This window comes from Homo sapiens, chromosome 2 (assembly GCF_000001405.40).
Source record: "Homo sapiens chromosome 2, GRCh38.p14 Primary Assembly".
NCBI classification, from domain to species: Eukaryota; Metazoa; Chordata; class Mammalia; order Primates; family Hominidae; genus Homo; species Homo sapiens.
This window is the reverse complement of record NC_000002.12, coordinates 64,185,026-64,205,514: the sequence shown is the minus strand read 5'-3', so window position 1 is coordinate 64,205,514 and position 20,489 is coordinate 64,185,026. Positions and strand designations below refer to the sequence as shown.

Genomic DNA, 20,489 nt, shown 5'->3' with positions numbered 1-20,489 from the left:
AACTTCCACAGAGCAGGGCCAGAGAGATTCTGGGACCTGTCCCCAGGGGAATTATTTCTAATACCCTTGATAAAATGTACAAAGCTAGGGTAGGAAGTAGCAAGGTGACAGCAGTGGTTAGGTGGAAAGTTTCTCTAAGAGAAAGAACTAATGAATTCGTTCAATTGAAGCTTTTTAAATATATTTATTCCTGTCACCTTTCAAGTCAGCAGCTTTTTCCAGGTGACATGGCAAAAGGGCCTGGCAAGTGCACAGGGTTAAGCCAAGGACTATCAATACTGCTCCCTAAAATATTTTCACCTCTGGTTTTGGGGATCTGCTTCTTCTCGGGGTCTCTCCTGCTGCTTTCCTGGTAATAGCACCTAAGAGACCCATGAAACAAATCCCCAGTTCAATACAAATTTATAGCTGAGTAAATATGAGCATAGGCTTTAGGAATCCACAGAATTGGAGCTTTGCTTAATACCAGCCGGGAAAATGTGGTTGTCAGTTAACCTCTCAGAGCCTCTTCGAGGCTTGGTTCGCTCATCTATTAAATGAGTCTGAATAAGCCCTACTCCTCCAGGTTGTTGCTAGCATCAGACGAGAAATGTATGCAAAGCCCCAGTGCCATGGCTGACACACAGGAAACATTCAACAAGTGGTAGTGCATTTTCACTAAGTAAAAGGAGTAATGATTTCTTTAGTGGTTTCTTTTAACACAGGGGTTTCTATCCATCCCAAATAGAGGATAGATATTCTAATAAAACAATCATTTATGTGATTTGTGATTACACCGTACAACTCAAGTTCCTGTGGAATGTTTAGCGTAATCAATCCGAAGCTCTCAGCAAGCTCCCTGGGCCTGATTTTCAAATCCAATGTTACTGTAGCAAAGAACTAAAGGAGGGGAAGAAAAGCACCACTGTATTAAATACACCCTCCTCCCCTTTTTCCTAAAGGCTGTTTGTCCCCTTCTCTTGATAAATCTTCAGTTCCCAGAGAGCAGAGACTCTTGGGAAACAGGAAGTAGCAAAATGCCAGTGAGAAAATCCCCAGATGAAGAGCAGCAACAAGTCTCCGGGCAACAGTGTGGTCAAAAGGGGGAAATTCCCCCATCAGCGCTCAAAAACAGTCCCTCAGGAAAGCTTAGTGAAGGTTAATTTGGGAAATTCCCTCAGAGGCCATAGAACAGAAACGGAAAACTGCTGTTTAAGAGAAATCTGAACGGAGCAAGCCAGTTCGTGGCTGCCTGGGGTGCTCTCTGCGTGAACCGCGCTGCTGCTCCAGCCTGACTTCCCCCTTTTCATCCTGATCCTGAGGGCAACCCCGAAGGGGTCCAGTTGCCAGAGCCACTTGACACCCACCCTGCCCAGGCTCCCAACCCAGGAGAATTAATGCCGCAACACCCAGCCTCTTGAAACGAGCTGCTGCTAAAGCAGATTTGCCTCCCCGTTAGGACCTCCTGTGACCCACCCTCATTCCTGTCCCCATGGTAGACTAGCAAGCCACAGTCATCATACTGTGAGTGTCCCTCACAGTCACTTGCTATAACAAGTCCATCAGGTTTTACTGGGTTTTAATCTAAATGTGACCTTAGGATGACATTTCTTAGTGCTGCTAAGCTCCAAGAGGCAGGGAGGAATCCTCCCCACAAAGAAGAAGAAAAAAAAAATCACATAAACATTGTCCCATGAAAGGCTTAGAATGGAATATCCTCTGATCAGCTGAAGCAGAGAAAGCATATAAACACTGCTGGAAAGGGGGCTGGGTCAGGGGCAAGTACTGGCTCTACAGAGCCCTGATCTCCAGATGCAAGCGAGGCCCAGTTCCCTGCTGCAACCAGCTCTCCGTGAATCATTTCCATTCCCATAAAACTTCTATTTGCTGTTTTGTTTTGTTTTTTTATGTGTGACTTAAAATGACCATTTCAAGAAGATGACAAAAAGGAGATTTCAGTAGAAGAGAGAGGAAAGTAGACTCCATCATGACAGCCTAAATTTGTTTTACTGTACACTTACGCAAAATAGGTATCAAATTTTGGAAAAGAGATTTTAAAGGAGAAAGTACTCTGGGTTTAAAATTCTATTAAAAAATATGCTCTACTAGAGCGTGTGTGCCTTTTTTATGTAATCAGGACCCACTGCTGTATGAGTCACAATTATAGATTCTACTTTCAAATATTTTTTGACTCCTAGAAAACAGCCCTGACAAAAACCACTTTTCTGATGTCTTCAAACAAACAGGTTCTTATTCACTTTCATTCCTGTGGTTTTGTTAAGATTCTTTTCTCCAAAAATTGTAAAGATTCTCAGCCACCTAGTTTTTCCTATGCTTGAAAAAAAGCAATAAACCTCCTTTTTAGGTTTGCATGTTTCCTAGCAATTAGAATAGTCCTTAAATTCATTTTGTATACACAAATAGTAATTACAATCGTTACATTTAAGCTACTTTCAAAGTCTCCTACACTTGAAAATTCTAGACAGACTGTCAACATACTCTCAAGAAGTATTCTTTCCATTTTTCTTCTGGGAAAATAGCAGGTATTCAATTCTTAATTCCTAACAAGGAATATTTTTTATTTCGGGGAAAATTTTTCACTGGCTTTCAGCGCCACTATAGTTGTGAATGTGAAATCAATTAAACGAATATGTGGGTCAGCAAAAAAAAAAAATCTCTTTAATGCAGGCACAGATGAAACAGATTCCAACATGGGGCTGAGAGTAATAAATAAACTAATAAAAAAAGGAAAGCATGGAGCAACTTTGATAGAAGTAAGCTGTTTGCCTTTGCCCTGGAAAGTTTATAGTGTTTTAAGCAATTGTAAACATGTCAGTATACGTGGATACCGTTTCCATAGCAGCATAGCAACAGTTAGGAGTTTCTCCAAACATATCCAAAGGAAACTAAAAATAGTCTGTCTTCAATATCAAAATACATACGTATACATATTCAGACAACAGTACATAGAATGATGTGTAATGAGAAGTTCTGCAAACACCAACCTTTCACAAAAGTACATTGCGGATAGTTTTAAAAACCATTGAGTTGGGTGTTTTTAGAAATGGAATAGAAACCAGAGTCTGAGGGAAAGCCACATGCCACATTGAGTTCTAAGATCAGAGGTCCTTGACAACAACTGCCTTCAGCCATTGCTTTGGCTGCTCTACCTGACACTGCTTTTGCCCTTAAAGACCTCTGTGCCCTATTCATCTTTGGCCTGTACCAAAACTGGAGTTGAGTATATGATATGATACATACTCTGATCTCCATTTATTGCAGTATTCTCTCATCTTCTTAAGTTTTCTAGCCATTCATTTCTTCCTCCCTATAGAGATTGGACAGCAGCTGCATTTTGTAAAATAATGTAAAACCACAACAAAAATAATGTGAACCAAGTTCACATTTTCCCAATGAACTGACTTAAACTGACGCTCAGTGACAGAAATAGTGATTCCAAAATGAAGACAGAGTGTCAAGTACATTTTTGGTCCTTCGCTGTTTGTACTTTTTATTTATATCCAAGAATTACAAGTATTTTAAAAACATCATCTAGTGGGAAATATTATTACTAGGGTATATATAATTTATCATCTAAAAAGGAACACTTGAGAGTGAAAGGGGTTGCTATTTATACTTACATTGGGAAAACAGGTGTAAACCAAGACTGTCTCAGGAAGGCCCAGATGAATGGTCACACAGTGTTACACATAAGAGTGTAAGTGTCTTGAGGGCAGGAATGTTTTATTTATTTTTGTATCTTCAGAATCTACTGCAGTGCTTGACACCTAGAAAGAATTCAACAAATGCTTTTTAAATGAATAAAATTTATCATTGGATTATGTTTTTGTAAAACTTTGAAAAGTATTTCTTATACATAATACTAAGCTGAACATATTTCTTTTTTTAGGTCCATAGTCCACATGTTAGGGTAAAATAAAATCTTATGTAGCACTACAGGGTGAATCTTCTTCATCATCTGATCTTCTCCCTCAAAGTAAAGAGGATAAAAATGGCAAAGTAAAATATATCCATGAGTCATAAAAAAGATAATTCTATCAGTCTGGGAGGGGTTTATGAAAGCACTAAAGAAAGGTTAGAATATGAATTCAGATAGGAAGCAATTTTATAATCTGATTTCTATGGCTATGATCCTGGTTTTATTTTTCTTTGCCAGGAATTTTGGCCCCTAGGGAGAAATGCAGAAGGAGTAGCAAATGAGCACACTGACTGGAAAGAATGCTATTTGTCTTTCACTATGTGGAGTTCAGAAGAGCACTGGCCATTGGCGAAGTCCCAGAAGTGAAGGTAAGAGCCTCTTCTCTTTCTGCCCCTATCTGCCAGTTTTGCAAGGAGTGCCTTAACACAAATCATTTTTCCATTTGATGGGCCTCTAGTCAGTTCTTGGTTTTGTTCATTTGTTCGTTTGTTTTGTTTTGTTTTTAGATGGAGTCTCACTCTGTTACCCAGGCTGGAGTGCAGTGGCGTGATCTTGGCTCACTGCTACCTCTGCCTCCTGGGTTCAAGTGACTCTCCTGCCTCAGCCTCCCAGGAAGCTGGGATTACAGGTGCTCACCACCACGCCCAGCTAATTTTTTTTTTTTTTTTTTTTTTTTTTTTTTTTTTTTTTTTTGTATTTTTAGTAGAGACAGGATTTCCTCATGTTGGCTAGGCTGGTCTCAAATTTCTGACCTCAAGTGATCCGCCCACCTTGGCCTCCCAAAGTGCTGGGATTACAGACATGAGCCACCACATCCAGCCTAGTTCTTGGTTTTTAAACCACACCAGGCAGGGTGCAGTGGCTCACACCTGTAATCCCAGCTACTCGGGAGGCTGAGGTATGAGAATCCCTTGAACTTGGGACACAGAGGTTGCAGTGAGCCGAGATGGCATCACTGCACTCCAGTCTGCCAGGTACGGTGGCTCATACCTGGAATCCCAGCACTTTGGGAAGCCAAGGCAGGCAGATCACTTGAGGCCAGGAGTTTGAGACCACCCTGGCCAACATACCAAAACCCCATCTCTACAAAAAATACAAAAAAAATAGCTGGGCGTGGTGGAGCATGTCTTTAATCCCAGCTACTTGGGAGGCTGAGGCAGGAGAATCGCTTGAACATGGGAGGTGGAGGTTGCAGTGAGCCGAGATCACGCCACTGCACTCCAGCCTGGGTGACAGAGAGAGATTCTGTCTCAAAAACAAAACAAAACTATAAACCACACCAAAGGATTGCTGGGGGAAGTTATCATTACATTCAAGCAAAGCACTTAGTGATCCTCCTATGAAAAGGTCTTGCTATCAATCTGCTACCCCTTAGTGGAGAGGCAGCAGAGTTTGGGAGATGGTATTACCTGTCCTTATCATCTCAGACTCTGCAGTCATTCTGTTTGTTTGGGTTTGCAGCCAGATTATTCTACAGGATGTTGCCTAGCATATCTGGATCCCAGTTTCTTTATCTTTCAAAGGGGAAAATAATAATAGTATCCCTTCTGGGGTTATTTGTGAGGGTTAAAAGATATCCATGTAAAACACTTGCGACATGAATCTAAGCTATTATTATTGTCTAGCTCTATATTTCTTTGGACATTTAGCAAGAGTACTACTGAAAAAAATATGTAATTAAAGGCAAAATTTGTACTTTCATGTTTCTAATCCAAATCAACCCAAATGTATGTAACCTAAGGCCAGAAGGAATCTGCTAGGCCTTAGGCCACTTAAGGACTAGATCCTATTTTCATCTCTTTCCCAAGAATTTAATTGTTTATTGCTCTCACACCAAGGAGACCTGGCGTTTTATTATTGTTGTTGTTGTTATTCATTAAATTCCATCAAACTCTAGCCAGTTTGTATTCTGGGCCATACCTAGCCACTACATTTTAGGGAAAGCCGAAGGCCTGTCCCAAAAGAATGATATCTCTTCTTTAATACCTAATTTAGAGGCTAGGAACATTCCAGATAAGTGAGTTTATTTACAGAATTATGTAAGGCTTTACATTTAATGAATTTCTGGTGTCTAAGGGTAGGAGCAGGGGGAATAGGCTCTTTATAAATACCAAATCATGCTGTTATCTACAGACTATGTGCCCGTTGGTTAAATAGAGCCAAAGTCTGTTCAGTTTGATAATTACTAAATTTGACATTCATAGAGGTTCTTTTTAATTCTGGGAGTAAGAAAACCACAAACTCATTAAATTATGATATGTTTCAACCCTATTATCCTAATACAATTACCCCACAGACTACATTGCCACAGGAAGTCTTTGGGACAGCTCCTAAGGGTTAGAAAGTCTCAGTAAAAGGGATTTGATTCACCTAAAAGCCACCACCGTGTGTGTGTGGTTTTTTTCTTTTTTTGACAAGGTCTTGCTCTGTCACCCAGACTGGAGTGCAATGGCATGATCTCGGCTCACTGCAACCTCCACCTCCCAGGTTCAAGCAATTCTCGTGCCTCAGCCTCCTGAGAAGCTGGGACTACAGGTGCACACCACCAAGCCCAACTAATTTTTTGTATTTTTATTAGAGACAGGGTTTCCCCAAGTTGGCCGGGCTAGTCTCGATCTGATCTCAAGTGATCCACCCACCTTGGCCTCCCAAAGTGCTGGGATTACAGGCATGAGCCACCACATCTGGCCTGGTTTAAAAAATAAAAGTGAACATTAATCCACTTGATATAAAGTTATGGTTAATGATTCTAAAGAAAGATATTTTTACTCATGCCCAGCGGAGTCTTTATCCAGTACATCTACACTGGCATTCAAAGTGACAAACAGCAAAGGAAACAGGATCCAACTTCTTTAAGAATATTTGGGGGCAGGAAACTTGGCCATACATCTGTTTCTTTTGAGTAACAATAGCAATAATTTACTTATCTAGTAGTATTGCCATTTATTCTTTAGCCACATCAAGGGAAATCTAATTATTTCCCACAAAATGAGAACTTCTAATGAAACTTTTCTTATTCAATTCATTTAATAAACTATAAAGGTCTAAATAGCACCTAGATTTTCTTAGCACCCTGACTTCTCCAAACCTCTCCTGAAATGTCCATGTACTATGAATGGGACAAGTGTGGCCGGGTGGAAGTGCATGAGACTGAGAATAGGAGATATTGCTTCCTACCACAGTCACGGTTCTGTGACTTAGTCGCTATGAAACTGGGTAAATCTTTTGGCATTAAAATGTTGTCAGAAAACAGGAAATTCACATAGCTTCAAAATGTCACCCCAGGCCGGGCGCAGTGGCTCACACCTGTAATCCCAGCACTTTGGGAGGCCGAGGCAGGCAGATCACGAGGTCAGGAGGTTAGCCATCCTGGCTAACACAGTGAAACCCCGTCTCTACTAAAAATACAAAAAATTAGCCAGGCATGGTGGCGGGCGCCTGTAGTCCCAGCTACTCAGGTGGCTGAGGCAGGAGAATGGCATGAACCCGGGAGGAGGAGCATGCAGTGAGCCGAGATAGCACCACTGCACTCTAGCCTGGGCGACAGAGCGAGACTCCGTCTCAGTTGCAAAGAAAGAAAGATATCTACACAATGGAGAAATTTGTCCTTCAAAATTAAAGTTTATTCCTGTAAACACTCCCAGTGGTGGCAAAGATACCTCCTTTAAGGTTGAATTTGTGCTTAAATGTCACCATTCCCATTCCAACCCAGCCTACATTTCTCTTCTTGTTATTTCTCTAGCTCAGTCCCTTATCTGTTGCCTTCATACCTCTTATCCCAACTCTGAAGTGTTTTATTAATTTGTTTGTTAGATGTTGTGGCGGGGGTGGTTTTGGTCTGTCTTTCTTATTATATCAGCTCCAAGAGAGCAGGAACTGTATCTGTCTTATGCATCACAGAATCCTCAACTTCTAACACAGAGCCTGACATGCAGGGGCATTCAATGAGTACTTATTGAAAAAATGAATCTATGGATGAAGGAGTAAATGAATAGATTTAATTTTTTTAAATACCCCAAGTTATTTGGAGTTAAATCTAGAAGGGAGAAAAATAACTAATCAACCTTCTGTGTCGTGGCTAAAAATTGAAGTAAAACACTAAGTATTTAGTCCCGAGTGGTCTGCAGACCCTAACCTTGGTTCTGAAGGCAACTCTAAGATAAAGAGTTCCAAAATGCTTTGCAAAATGGTGTCTTTACTAGGATAAGTTCATATCTCCCACTATGATTCCTGGAAGAATAGCACTAATTTGAATGTATAAGCTATGCCATTTTTTTTAGTTGTGTCATTTTTTAAAGCAAACTGTATTCCTTACCTCACAGTCCTACATACCCCAAATATCTCACATAACACCTGGAGAGGAATTTTCTCACTGTAAGTCTCACTTTAGAAAACTCCCTGGTCATCAGCTGACCCCATGAACAAAGCGTCCTTTCAATGCCGAGAGCAACCACAGCTGAATAGCAGATCGGATGAACCCATACTGCCATGGCTGTAATGACATCCTTAGAAACGCAAGAGTCCTCACTGAAAGAACAAAGATCAATATTTAGTTTCTTGCGTCCCTACAGGCTGTTCATCAATTTTATAGCCTCCTGTTTTGCCACTTCCCTCACCTCTAACTCCAATTTGCTCTTCTAGGAAAAGAGAAAGGTCAGGCTGGAAGTACATAATAGTAATACGAATGCAAAAACACTTCCAACAAAATCCAAAGTTTGAATTACAATAATTGTGCTATGTTGACACCAATATTTGGTATTTAAAAAAAAATAAATCTTTTGCTGTATTTTAAAACATTTCAATGCATTTTAAAAGAATAAATCTTTGGCTGTAGTTTAACACTTTTAAATGCATTTTTGGTAGTAACTAAATGGACTTTATTAACTACCTTACAAGTGAAAGAACAGAAAGAAAGGGGCAAAACTATTGCCTAGTTATCTTTTTTTTTTCTTTTCAGACAGAGTCTCACTTATCGCTCAGGCTGGAGTGCAGTGGCAATCTAGGCTCACTGCAACCTCCACCTCCCGAGTTCAAGCAATTTTCGTGCCTGAGCCTCAAATGATTTTCGTGCCTCCGCCTCCTGAGTAGTTGTGATTACAGATACCTGCCACCTTGCCTGGCTAATTTTTGTGGTTTTCTTTAGAAGAGACAGGGTTTCACCATGCTGGCCAGGCTGGTCTCGAACTCCTGACCTCAAGTGATCCACCTGTCTTGGCCTCCCAAAGTGCTGGGATTATAGGAGTCAGCCACTGTGCCTGGCAGCCTAGTTGTCTTTATATCCGTTTTATTCCCTGAAATCCGCAATACTAAGCATTGCACGGTCTGACTCTTGGCCTCAACCATTCCCAGACATAGACTTTACATGCTGCTGCCACGGTTTCAACTCCCATGATACACTAACCTCCTAATTTTCATACATTTAATTTCTTAATAAAACAAGGAAGAAATTAAGACTAGTCTCGTAGTAATATAGTTAACTTTCCATATAAATTTCTTCAAATAAACTTTGGAGCTGATGGCATGGTTCGGGAGTGTTTTCGATGATCAGCCAAAATGGGATGTGATATGATATGCAGTGAGGAGCTAAGCCAGGTCCTTGTCACCATCCACCTTTCCTGTTTAGAAAACAACCATTAACATCGCAAAGAGGCTGCCAAGTTAAGTAATTGTAAAAGACTGTCACTAGGGTAAAAATGGAAGATATCTGCCAAATGGAATATGTTGAATGAATGGTCAGTGTCACCCAAGGGAAACCACAGCCAGAGTATGATGTGACAGAGCCAACCAGATTTTTAAAAGAGCTGGGTAGCACCGCGTATGACAAGACCCCCTCATCCCACATTCCTGTGGTGGAGAGCATGGAGGTGACTGAGCTGTTGGTGGCAAACTCATGCCTTCTGCAACTCAATCAGACATCACCAAGGACATTATTATTCTCTAGCTTATGAATAACTATTTTTATGTCTTCACTATTTTTTATAAACTTATTGTTTGTGGAAATAAATTCCCTGGTCATAATGAAATAAAGGAAAAAAGAAAACAATACAACAGACTTTTTTTCAACCAGCGGAGCATATTTTCATTTTTTTTTCTTATGACAACATTTTTAAATTATATTTAAAATTACTCATCTCTTATTCATAACCATCCTGTTGATCAAGTGAGGGACAAGAGTAACCTGCCCAAGGTCCCCAGGTATCAGCTGATTAGGGCCTCTGGGCAGTTGTATCACTTTGGTTCCATCACAAGCTTTTCTTTCTACCCCTTCCCACATCCCATCTCCAGACACTCACCAGGTATGCCATCTCCAGGTGTCCTGGAGCTCCAAAATGACCCTGCCCTTTTCTTCAATAGTTAGTCCCTGTGAAGGTTTCAGTCTTGTGCAAAAATGACAAGTTTAAATGCATCTTTGTTGCATCACCCTATCTGTACCCTTCTGGTATCCTTCTCCTATGACATTCCATGAAGGGAGTTGTGGGCAGAGTCAGGTTGTACTGGGGTTGCAGAAACAGAGGAATCTTTATAGGATCATCTCTATGTTTAGGCATCAATCCACCCACCTCTTCAGATTCTGCCAAGAACTTTCAATTGGCAGAAGTCAGATAGCTCCATGGAGCCAGAGAGTGGTCCATTACCTTAATGTTGCATTATTCAATTTGTGTTTGAAAATGAATTTATTGGTCTGCCGTTTTACCAGGTTGTGATTTGTCAATTAATATTTAATAATTTTTTTGAGACAAGGTCACACTTATTGCCCAGGCTGGAGTGCAGTAGCACAATCAGGGTTCACTGCAGCCTCAACCTCCTGGGCTCAAGTGATCCTCCCACCTCATCCTCCTGAGTACCTGGGACTACAGGTGTGTGCCACCACACTTGGCTAAATTTTTTGTGTTTTTTTGTAGAGATAGGGTCTCGCCATGTTGCTCAGGCTGGTTTACTATGACTTTTAATTCCATTAGAGTATTTTGCATTTAATTGTACTTTAAAACAGAAATGTTTTATGATATCTTGTTCACTGTTACCCACTTCCCAGTTTACCACACACTTAATCCTTCTAGTTTGGTAGGGTAACACCAAATGCTAGCCTAGATAACTATTAAAATGTCAGTGGTTTAGCACAATCTGTTGGTCAGCTTTTGCTAGGTTATTCTCCTGTGACAAGCAATCCCCATATCAACCGCAAAGGTTTATGTTTTGCTATGGAATATGTTAGCTACGTGTCAGTCGCTCCTCTGCTCCACTTGTCTTCTTTATCTGGGATCCAGCCTAAATGTCCCTTCTGTATATGGGATCCAGGCTAAATGCTGTTCTAGAACAGGAGAAAGGATCATGGTGGAATCATGCAATAGCTCTTGAAGCTTCTGCTGGAATGTGGTCTACATCACGTCTGCTCACATTCCACTAGCCAAAGCACGTCAGATGACCAAGCCCAACATCAGTGGACAGGAAGGATGCTCTTCCTCCAGAGAAGCTCACCACAGAAGACCCCTGTAGCTCTACAGGTAGCAGATAAAATTTACCTAAAACTAGAATTCTGTTTCTCATTCACGTAATACTTCAATGCAAGTGTGCCTGGTTTGTAGGCAGCTTTCCTTCATGTGATTATTAAAAAACCCAGGCTATTTCCATCGTGTGGTTCCACCCATCTGCATTCAGCCAGCAGATGGGGAAGAGAAAATGAAGATGCCCCCACTCATTTCTTAAAAGTCTGGGCCTAGAAAAAGAGACATGCACACCTTCTGTCACATTTTATCGATGACCACCTGGATGCAAGGAGTCAGGAAGGTAGGACATGCTAAAAAATGTAGCCTCCATCTTAGAAGCCACCTCCCAGCAATAACTCCACTATGAAAAGAGGAGGGTAAAGTTTTGATGAATCATTGGCCATCTCTGCCATACAAAACCTCAAACTCGCTATCCGGGGTGTGCCTAGGTTTTATTTCTAGACCCATTTATACTGAAATGGAATGGCCAAAAATATTCCAGATCTTGTGATTTGGGTTTTTGTTGTTGTTGTATTTTTTCATTTTTAATGTAGACCCTACTGAGTCAAATAACAAGGCATAAGCGACTTAGAAAATCACCATGTCCTGGCCAGGTGCAGTGATTCACACCTGTAATCCCAGCACTTTGGGAGGCTGAGGCAGGCGGATCACCTGAGGTCGGGAGTTTGAGACCAGCCTGACCAACATGGAGAAACCCCATCTCTACTAAAAATACAAAATTAGGCGGGCGTGGTGGTGCATGCCTGTAATCCCAGCTACTTGGGAGGCTGAGGCAGGAGAATCACTTGAATCCAGGAGGCGGAGGTTGCGGTGAGCCAAGATCGCGCCATTGCACTCCAGCCTGGGCAACAAAAGCAAAACTCCATCTCAAAAAAAAAGAAGAAAAGAAAATCACCATGTCCTTTGCCTAAGGAAACTTTCTACCCCATCTATCATGTTCCAAAAACCAAATAAATAATTTTATTTCTTGATAGTTCAGAAAGAAAACGTTAGTAATGATTTTCACAGTTGTCTCTTAGTTTTTCCATTTCCCAGTTTGGAGTTACGCAACCACTAACACCGCACCGTTGTGTTTGTCTCCAAACCCCTGAATTTGCACATGCAATCCTTTTGTTGCTTAACTGCCCAAGTGAAAAGAACAACTGGTCATTTACAAGCACAAATTTGTGAGTAGGAAGAGGGATTTCACCAAAACTAGGAATGCAAATACATAAACTAAAATTGAAAATTGACCTCGATGATGACAAATGACTACTTAGAAGTAGCTGCTTCTTCAGTCAACGGAAAACCTCTCTATCATCAAATCCCCCAACTACTTCCACCTACTCCCTAGCATAGGCCCTTCACTTCTGCCTTCTCTAACATCTGATAGTGGCCCAAATGCACAGGATACTGGCTAAGAGCTCATTTGCAGCCATAGCCTCAGGCTTCCAGAGAACTTTGTTTTTAACTTTTTAATAGCACAGTCACATTCTGTCTTGTATCTTTGTAGTTTGTATACAGCTCTCTCTCTGTCTCCTAGATAATAATAAATCCCTTGAAATCAGAATCCATGTCATATTTGTCTTTCTATTTCCTACAACACTTACCTGGCACATAATCAAAGCTTACTATTTTTTTATTTTGAATTAGGTCAAGTTACAGCTTAATCTGGGCTCATACCCTGCAACTGAGTCCACCTTCAGATGGTGCTTCCACTAAGAAAGCTGTGGGATGCCTACGCTGCATTCATTAGGTCAGGCACGTCAAGGTCGCTAATTCCTCTCTCGTAACCCCTCCACTTCTGTCTGCCTTTTCACCAAAGATGCTGATGTCATTGAATCTTGCTTCTAGAGTTTCACATGCTAGAAGAGGAACTCGAGAAGGAAAGGGAAATCTGTCCTGCCCTCACCCCTAGCTTCCTTTTTTCCTTACTTAGTTTTCATGTTGGCCATACGGCAGCCATAGGAAGATGTTTTGGGGTTCTCACTCTGAGGCTCTTGAAAACATAGGAAAGCTGTCCTAAACTTCCGGGTCTCCTTTTTGGTCTCTCCTACCCCCACTCCAATTCATAAGCCAAAAAGGTCATCCTGCTTCTTTTAATTCTTCAGGAAATTGGAGCCTAAACCCAGACAGACCTTTCAGATTTTTCTGTTGTAGATTTAACACATCTCAGCAATATCTGTGAAGAAACCATAATCCTGACTTTACCACAAAGGAAGAAGGAAATGGAGGAAGTGTCCTGGTGTGGTAGAAAGAACCATCCAGTAGCCTGGGCAACATAGCAAAACCCCATCTCTGCAAAAAATAAAGAAAAAAATTAGCCGAGCATAATTGGTGTGTGCCTGTAGTCCCAGCTACTTGGGAGGCTGAGGTGGGAGGATCGCTTGAGCCCAAGAGGGAGAGGTTGCAGAAGGCTGAGATCTCACCACTGCACTCCAGTCTGGGCAACAGAGCAAGAAAGACCCTGTGAAAGAGAGAGAGAGAAAGAAAGAAGAGAGAGAGAGAAAGGGAGAAAGAGAGAAAGGGAGAAAGAGAGAAAGAGAAAGAAAGAGAGAGAGAAAGAAAGAAAGAAAGAAAGAAAGAAAGAAAGAAAGAAAGAAAGAAAGAAAGAAAGAAAGAAAGGAAGGAAAGAAAGAAAAAGAAAAAGAAAGGAAGGAAGGATCCACCCAGGTAGGAATCAGATCTTAGTTTTGAGCTCTGGCTCTTTTCCGTTTCACCTGGCTGACCCTGGACAAACCATGTTATGCCCCTCTGGATCTCACTCCTCAGTATAGATGAGCAAGCTCAATTAGGATACCTTTAACATCTTTCCTAGGCCTGGAAGTAGGAGTCACTAACATGGCAGGTTGACGTTATTGTAATAGAGCCACCGTTTCCGATCTGCTAGAGATATGATTTTCAGCCCAAGCATTTGCCATCTGCCTCTTTTGAGTCTTGGCTGGTAATCCATCAACTGTGCTAGATATAAGATCTTATCCAATGAATTAAGTGATATTTCTTCCATTTTTCCATTTAGAAGAGGCACAAAAGTACATATACCATCCTAATAAAACAGACTTCCATTTTTTAAAAAATGTGACTAGCAGCACAATACTTTCCTAGCACACCACCTGCCATTATCTCTCCAGGTGTTTACTGTGGGCAGCAGGCTAACAAGGCCTAAGCTTCCTCTTCTACTTTAGAGCTCACTGAAGGAAATAATGACCCCAAGTGAAGAAAAAGCTCTAATTTCCAGCTCCAGTTCTAGTTGGGGTAGAGGGTTCTGTTGTTTGTCAAGATGTTCTAATGGGCTTCTCACAGCAGGAGTTAGGGTATTATCTGGCAACAGGAGAAAGGAAATGAAAGTGTTCTGCATAAAAAAATGTAAAAGTCTGTCTCCCTTGTGGGCACAGGAATTTGGACAAATACTCCCAATTGTATTTAGGAAAAAAAAAAAGGTTTCTATTCAGTCTCTGAGAATTGTTGCTTTTTCTTTGTGCATGCTTGCATGTGTGTGTTTGTGGTGTCTGTGTGTGGGGAGGGAGGGTGTGTCGGGAGAGGGAGGTGAAGGAGATGTTCTCATATTCACCCCTACAAAGCTTGCAGGGAGAATGAGAAACTTCTGCACATCTCGGCAGTGAAGAAACCTTGAGGGGACCTTTCCTGAAGGGTTGGAGGTTCCCATTGACTGTCCTGATAAAGTCCCTATGGGGCTATTCTTGATTGAATAACTCAGACCTCGGGCAATGCTGTTGTGGTATCATTAGACTACCTGGTCAGACAAAAGGAGGAAAGCATCTGGTACTGATTTTAATATAATTTCCCTCTTTGGCAGAGTTTCATCCCTGAAGTCAGTTGGTAAGGAACTAAGAAGGAAAACAGAGAGTTGTAGATCTCTTAGGTGGCTTTATTCTTCCTCTATCACTTTCTAGACCTGAGGGTAAAAGAATGGGATGGAGTTTTTCTAAAAACTAGAGCAGCAGAGAAGCAGCACTAAGAAAATTGAAGAATAGGCCATTCTCAGACAGAAGAGGCAAGAGAAGCCTTGGTAACATTGGAGCAAGGTTGAGAAGGGCAGTGTGCCTACAGAGGAACCCATGAACAGTTCCCATTGTTTACTGATTTTACCTTGCTAGACTAGAAAATGCATTTGTCAATAGGAATGTTATCATCTCCAAGGGGGCAAATATTGGTTCTCAGTGGATGAACAAAATCTTAGATATTATAATGGCTTGTGGCCTTCCCAATGGCCACAGTAAATAAGCAAATATACAGTGTATCTGTGGAGTTTAAATTTCATGAGTGGAGTAAAGGTTGGGGTGGAGTACAATTAGGAAAAAAAAATGTCTAAAGGTCTCCTTTGGGGGAAGGGTGATAAGGAAAAAAAAAAGGTTGAGGAACAGTGTTCCAGAGCAATTATATTTAGTTTCAGCTTCAAATTATTCACTCCTGCTTGTAATTCCCTTTTGTTCTCTATCCTTTCATTTAAAAACATATAAGTTATGTGTTTGAGGGGGTGTGGGGAATTAGGCCTCCTGCACCTTACCTCCCAGCTGGGAGCTCCCAGGGAGGCCTGGGATCCACGTGGAGACAGGCAGTGAAGGAAGCAAGAGCCCAAGGCAGAGATGAAGGCTGTGGGTGGATCCACGGCCACGGGGGCGATTCAGAAACTGACAGGAGGCCAGTTCCGTCTGTGGGTCTTGAACTGTGGTGCCTGGACCAGCAGCAGCGGCGGCATCACTGGGAACTTGTCGGAAATGCAAATTCTCAGGTCCCACCCCAGACCCGCTGAATCAGAAACTCTAGGGGTGGGGCCCAGCCTCCAGGTGAGTCTGATCCTCCCTCAAATTTGAGAGTCATTGGTTTAGAAGTGAAACAGGTGACTCAAGGAAATGAGGAGGTACGCTTTGGGAGAAAGGAACAAGAAAGCAGAGTTTCAGTAAACTAAAATTTCCCACTCTCTAGTTTTTTAATCATCTTTAAAAATTTTCTTTTAGACCCTAGCAATATAAATATTGCTCGTTTCCACTAGGGAGGAAAACAACTCTGCTGTCAAATTTGCTGAGCACAAAGTGAAAGGAAGTCTGCAATCTGTTGGCTAATTAAGACCCATGTAAGTAATCAAGGCAGACAAGTCAAGGACAATGAATCTCAGGCTTGTCTTGGCTGATTCTGCCAACTTCACCGATCACCTAAACTAAATAATCAGCAATCACTTTATTTTGTGTTGTGTAAACACAGTAGAAATGTTCACAAAGTATTCCTAATGTGTAGCAGAAAGATTGTTACTTACTCAGCTTCCTATGTAGGGAAGCTAACATATCTATTCAGGATCACACTGTCACTGATGGCAAGATCCAAGCTCCCAGGTTCTGACTCTAAACTTTCAAATGAAGAGTTCAACTTCTTTTTCTTTTTAATTCTCTCCTTCCTTATGAACTACAGCAATTTGATTTGTAACTTTATTTTTTTTTCTATTTATGAAGCATTAGCAATTATTTGCCCTGAAAACATTTTTAATAAGAAGAAAACTAAGGTTGAATGCAAACAATTTAATAACAACCCACCTCAGTTTGGTCCTTCTGCGCCTTAGGCCACTGCCAGGTGCATGAACTTGCAAAACCCTAGATTAAAACCCAGGTTCTCCACAGCGCTTTTTGCAGAGTTAATTTCTGTCAGAGACATATTAATGACAGACTTTAGAAGAAACACCAAATAACAGTGACTTTCCAGTAACTTCAGTACTAGTCCTGCCCCTAGGTTACCCTATGAAGCTAGACTCCAGTGAAAATACGCCAACGATTCTTTTCCTGACCAAAACCATAACTGAGTCTCTAGAAAAATTTGTTTGCTGTGATTTGTATTTTTGATATAATAATTATGCCTCCATGCTATTTCTGGTTTATATCTAAAATGACCTTGTACCAACTCTTTTGACTACTCTGGCAAGGAGACACCTAAGATTAACCCTAAACAGGTTAGCTATCTCATAAGGAAGTAAGTCTTCACTCCCTTATGATTTAATAAATCCAAAATACATTTTTTAAATGGTATTGCCCTCCGTCTCTTACTGAACCAGTTAATGTATCACCTTTACAATAACTTTTGTCTGTGTTTCTCAAAAGCCTGTGCTGGCCTTGATCACATGTCAAATTTCAGGTCCTATGAGTTCTTGACCGTGTAGTTATTTGGAAGCTCATAGCATCTTTCTCCTTCTGGTGGGTTTTTAGATCATCTCTCTTTGCAGATTTGTACAGAGAGGTCTGTTTCAAACCAACACCCTCCCAACTCCCAGATGCAGGCTGAACTAAGAGCTAATGAGAAGGCATTCCTGCAGAAGAAAGGAACTGCTCTCAAGATATGCACAGCCTCAGTGTTGTTTTTTTTTTTCTTTTTGAAACTGAATGTTTTGTAAAGTTCTTTAATTGCCTTTTTATTTTTGAGCAAATCAGAGAGGGAGACCCTAAGTGTCCTATTATATTATCAAGTGAGTACATATGTAAGGAAAGTCTTTTCTTCTATTGTTTTTTTTTTTATTTGAAACACTGAATTAGACAAATAATTTACACTTAGTGGCAGGTGTAATCCTTCTTAAAGACATTTCTTAAGGATCTCCAAGCTTTCCCTGAACAAGCATACATTTTATTCAAACTATGAAGTAATACCCACTAGAGCCTCTCTGGGTATTGCAAAACACTCTCTGCATGTTCCAAAAGAGCCTTCTTTTAGTACAAACTGTAGGTAAACTAATGAAACCACATCATAAGAGCAAGCCTGAGCCACAGATACTAAAGGCTAATGTTTATTGAACACTTACTATTTGCCAGGCACAGACCTGAATGTTTTACATGTATTCATTTGGACTTCATTAAAAATCTGATGACCTAAGTAGACTTATCATCCTCATTATACAAATGAGGAAAGTGAGGCCCCGAAAAGTTAAGTAACATGCCCAAGGTCACCCTGCTGGTGAGTGGTCAGGCCAGTAAACAAGAGCTCTCATATATGGCTTGGAAAGATCTTCCCCACCCCCAACCCCCACTCTTTTATCCCACTGCCTCCCTTTCATCCTCCTTCCCACTTGCCTCTTTATGCATTTTATACTGTGGGGTTGGTTAAGCTGGAGCTCTGGTTGCCTTCAAATTCCTTTCTTTCCCTAAACCCTGTCTTAACCTACCCACAGCCCTGCCCCTGACTGGAGTCACACAGAAAGCCTGAACATCTGACACTCATTGGTCATGCTTCCTCCCACTAGGGACTCATTTCACGCTGTGCTTAGAGATGCATGCAAAAGCATTATCTTCTGCTGCAAGCAGCAGCCCCTAGGATGTACATGTGCTCTCTGCTGATGGCTAAATTTGGGGAAACTGAGACACTCTAACACAGCAGGAGCAACTTAATTTCTCAACTGCTTACATTAAAGATGAGACCAAGGATGAACATACTTGGACTTTTTCAACCTGATGTTTCATCTATCATGCTGCCCCTCCTCCCAAGACTTTCTCTTCCTGAGGACCTCTTGGTGAGAAGTTGCCCACCCCATACCCAAGCCAAAGTGGAATGGCAGAGCCCTGCCAGAAAACCAAGCAACATTTCTACTAAAGGCAGGTGGCTACTGCTCCTTCCTCTTTCTCCTTATCTGAGATGATTAGAAGTCCAGGTACAGAGGAACTGACCCATGTGTCCTACCTTGAGGACCCTGCAGTATTAATTAGTTATCATTGTCTGCAGAATGAAAAAGAAAAGAGCCTGTGCATGAATAGCAAACAACACCCTGTCCTCCTCCCCACCCCACCAAATACTTGTGTCAAGAGCAACTGGAGGCAGCAATTGTTCTATTCAACATTTGTCTAGTTGAGACCATTTTGGGGTCTGCTTTATCTCTGCCAGAGTTCAAATCCATGGGAAGTTTTAGGAGATGCAATAATAATATTGGAGATTTATATTTGCTGCATACAACTTAGATCATATCAAGGTTATCATCCAAAACTTATTTGAAGAATGTTTCATGTAACATCCAGGAATTTGAGAGCTTGTTAAGGAAAAGTTTTCAAATGTAAGAACAAACACAAAGCCAGACTCCTGGTATGGCTGAACCGTGGCAGAGATAATTTCCCTCTCATTTCACAGTCAACATGGGTTTATGGTGAGAGCCAGAGACAAAGATTCCTGTCCTCATGAGACTTTCCAATGGCTTATTTTGGGAGATTCTTGGATACCAGCTATTTACTTTCAAAAAGTTCAGTGGGAATTATTTTAATGTAAGAAATACTCATGACAGCCGGTTCGGGGGCAACTTTTCCAAACATGCTGTAACAAAATTGGCACTTTTAGCTAAATCACACCCTGTTCTTCAGACATTTGACTCAGATTTTTCTTTACTACAGTAAATCTGTACTTGGATCATGGAAGCTTGTAGGGACTAGCCATGTCAGTCCCACCTTGAAGACAGAGTTCCAGGCTGGATTGCATTTTCTAGAACAAATCCTTTAAATATTTTCATTCAAAGAGAACAGTAATGACAGCTTCCAACAATCAAACTGAATATTTTAGTAGAAGCTTTTCTAGACATTTGTGTTGGGATAACTAATGGAACTAATAGATTTAAGAAATTTCAGAACTCCTAATTAAGCCCTGGATACTGCCTCAGATTCTGAATGACTGAATATATTGGGCATTTTATGCCTCATCCTTCATGTAGTCCAACAAACACCTATTCTATATTTATTCTAAAAAACTTTACTAAAAACTTTACTAATATTAAATTTTCTAAATACTTTCTAAAACTTTACTAATATTAAATTTTTTACTTAAGATCTTCAGAAAATTTTCCAAATTTTATAAATTGTATACATTTTTGATGCTGCTATTGCTATAGATGTCTTCTGGAAGTTGAGTTGTGCCTTTAGGAATATTTTCCCACTACATCACTGTAATGAGTGTTACAAAAAAAGTCTCTGTACATTCTGCATGCCTTGATTAAATGTATTAATTTTCTACCAAATCACTATTCCTATAAGTGTTTAAAATAAAAATGAATATGGTCTTCAAACATTCATTCTAATACTATTTACTCTCCCCGTTTCAAAAACTCCCAAATACTC

The 20,489-nt window shown here is 40.8% G+C and overlaps 1 long non-coding RNA gene across 1 annotated transcript, besides 1 other annotated feature; it reads left to right on the top strand.

The window, feature by feature from the left end:
• Nucleotides 1-29: 29 nt before the first annotated feature.
• On the top strand, nucleotides 30-20,437 carry LINC00309 (long intergenic non-protein coding RNA 309). The gene is made up of 6 exons (NR_033837.1): nucleotides 30-2,225; nucleotides 2,427-2,522; nucleotides 4,157-4,287; nucleotides 13,057-13,159; nucleotides 16,383-16,498; nucleotides 19,773-20,437. It is a non-coding gene; the product is annotated as a long intergenic non-protein coding RNA 309 (long non-coding RNA).
• Nucleotides 936-1,265: an enhancer, noted in NCBI's record as "active region_15884". NCBI's record gives its function as "activates an Ori minimal core promoter by ATAC-STARR-seq in GM12878 lymphoblastoid cells {active_cell/tissue: GM12878}" and the evidence as "EXISTENCE:reporter gene assay evidence [ECO:0000049][PMID:35858748]".
• Nucleotides 20,438-20,489: the final 52 nt, after the last annotated feature.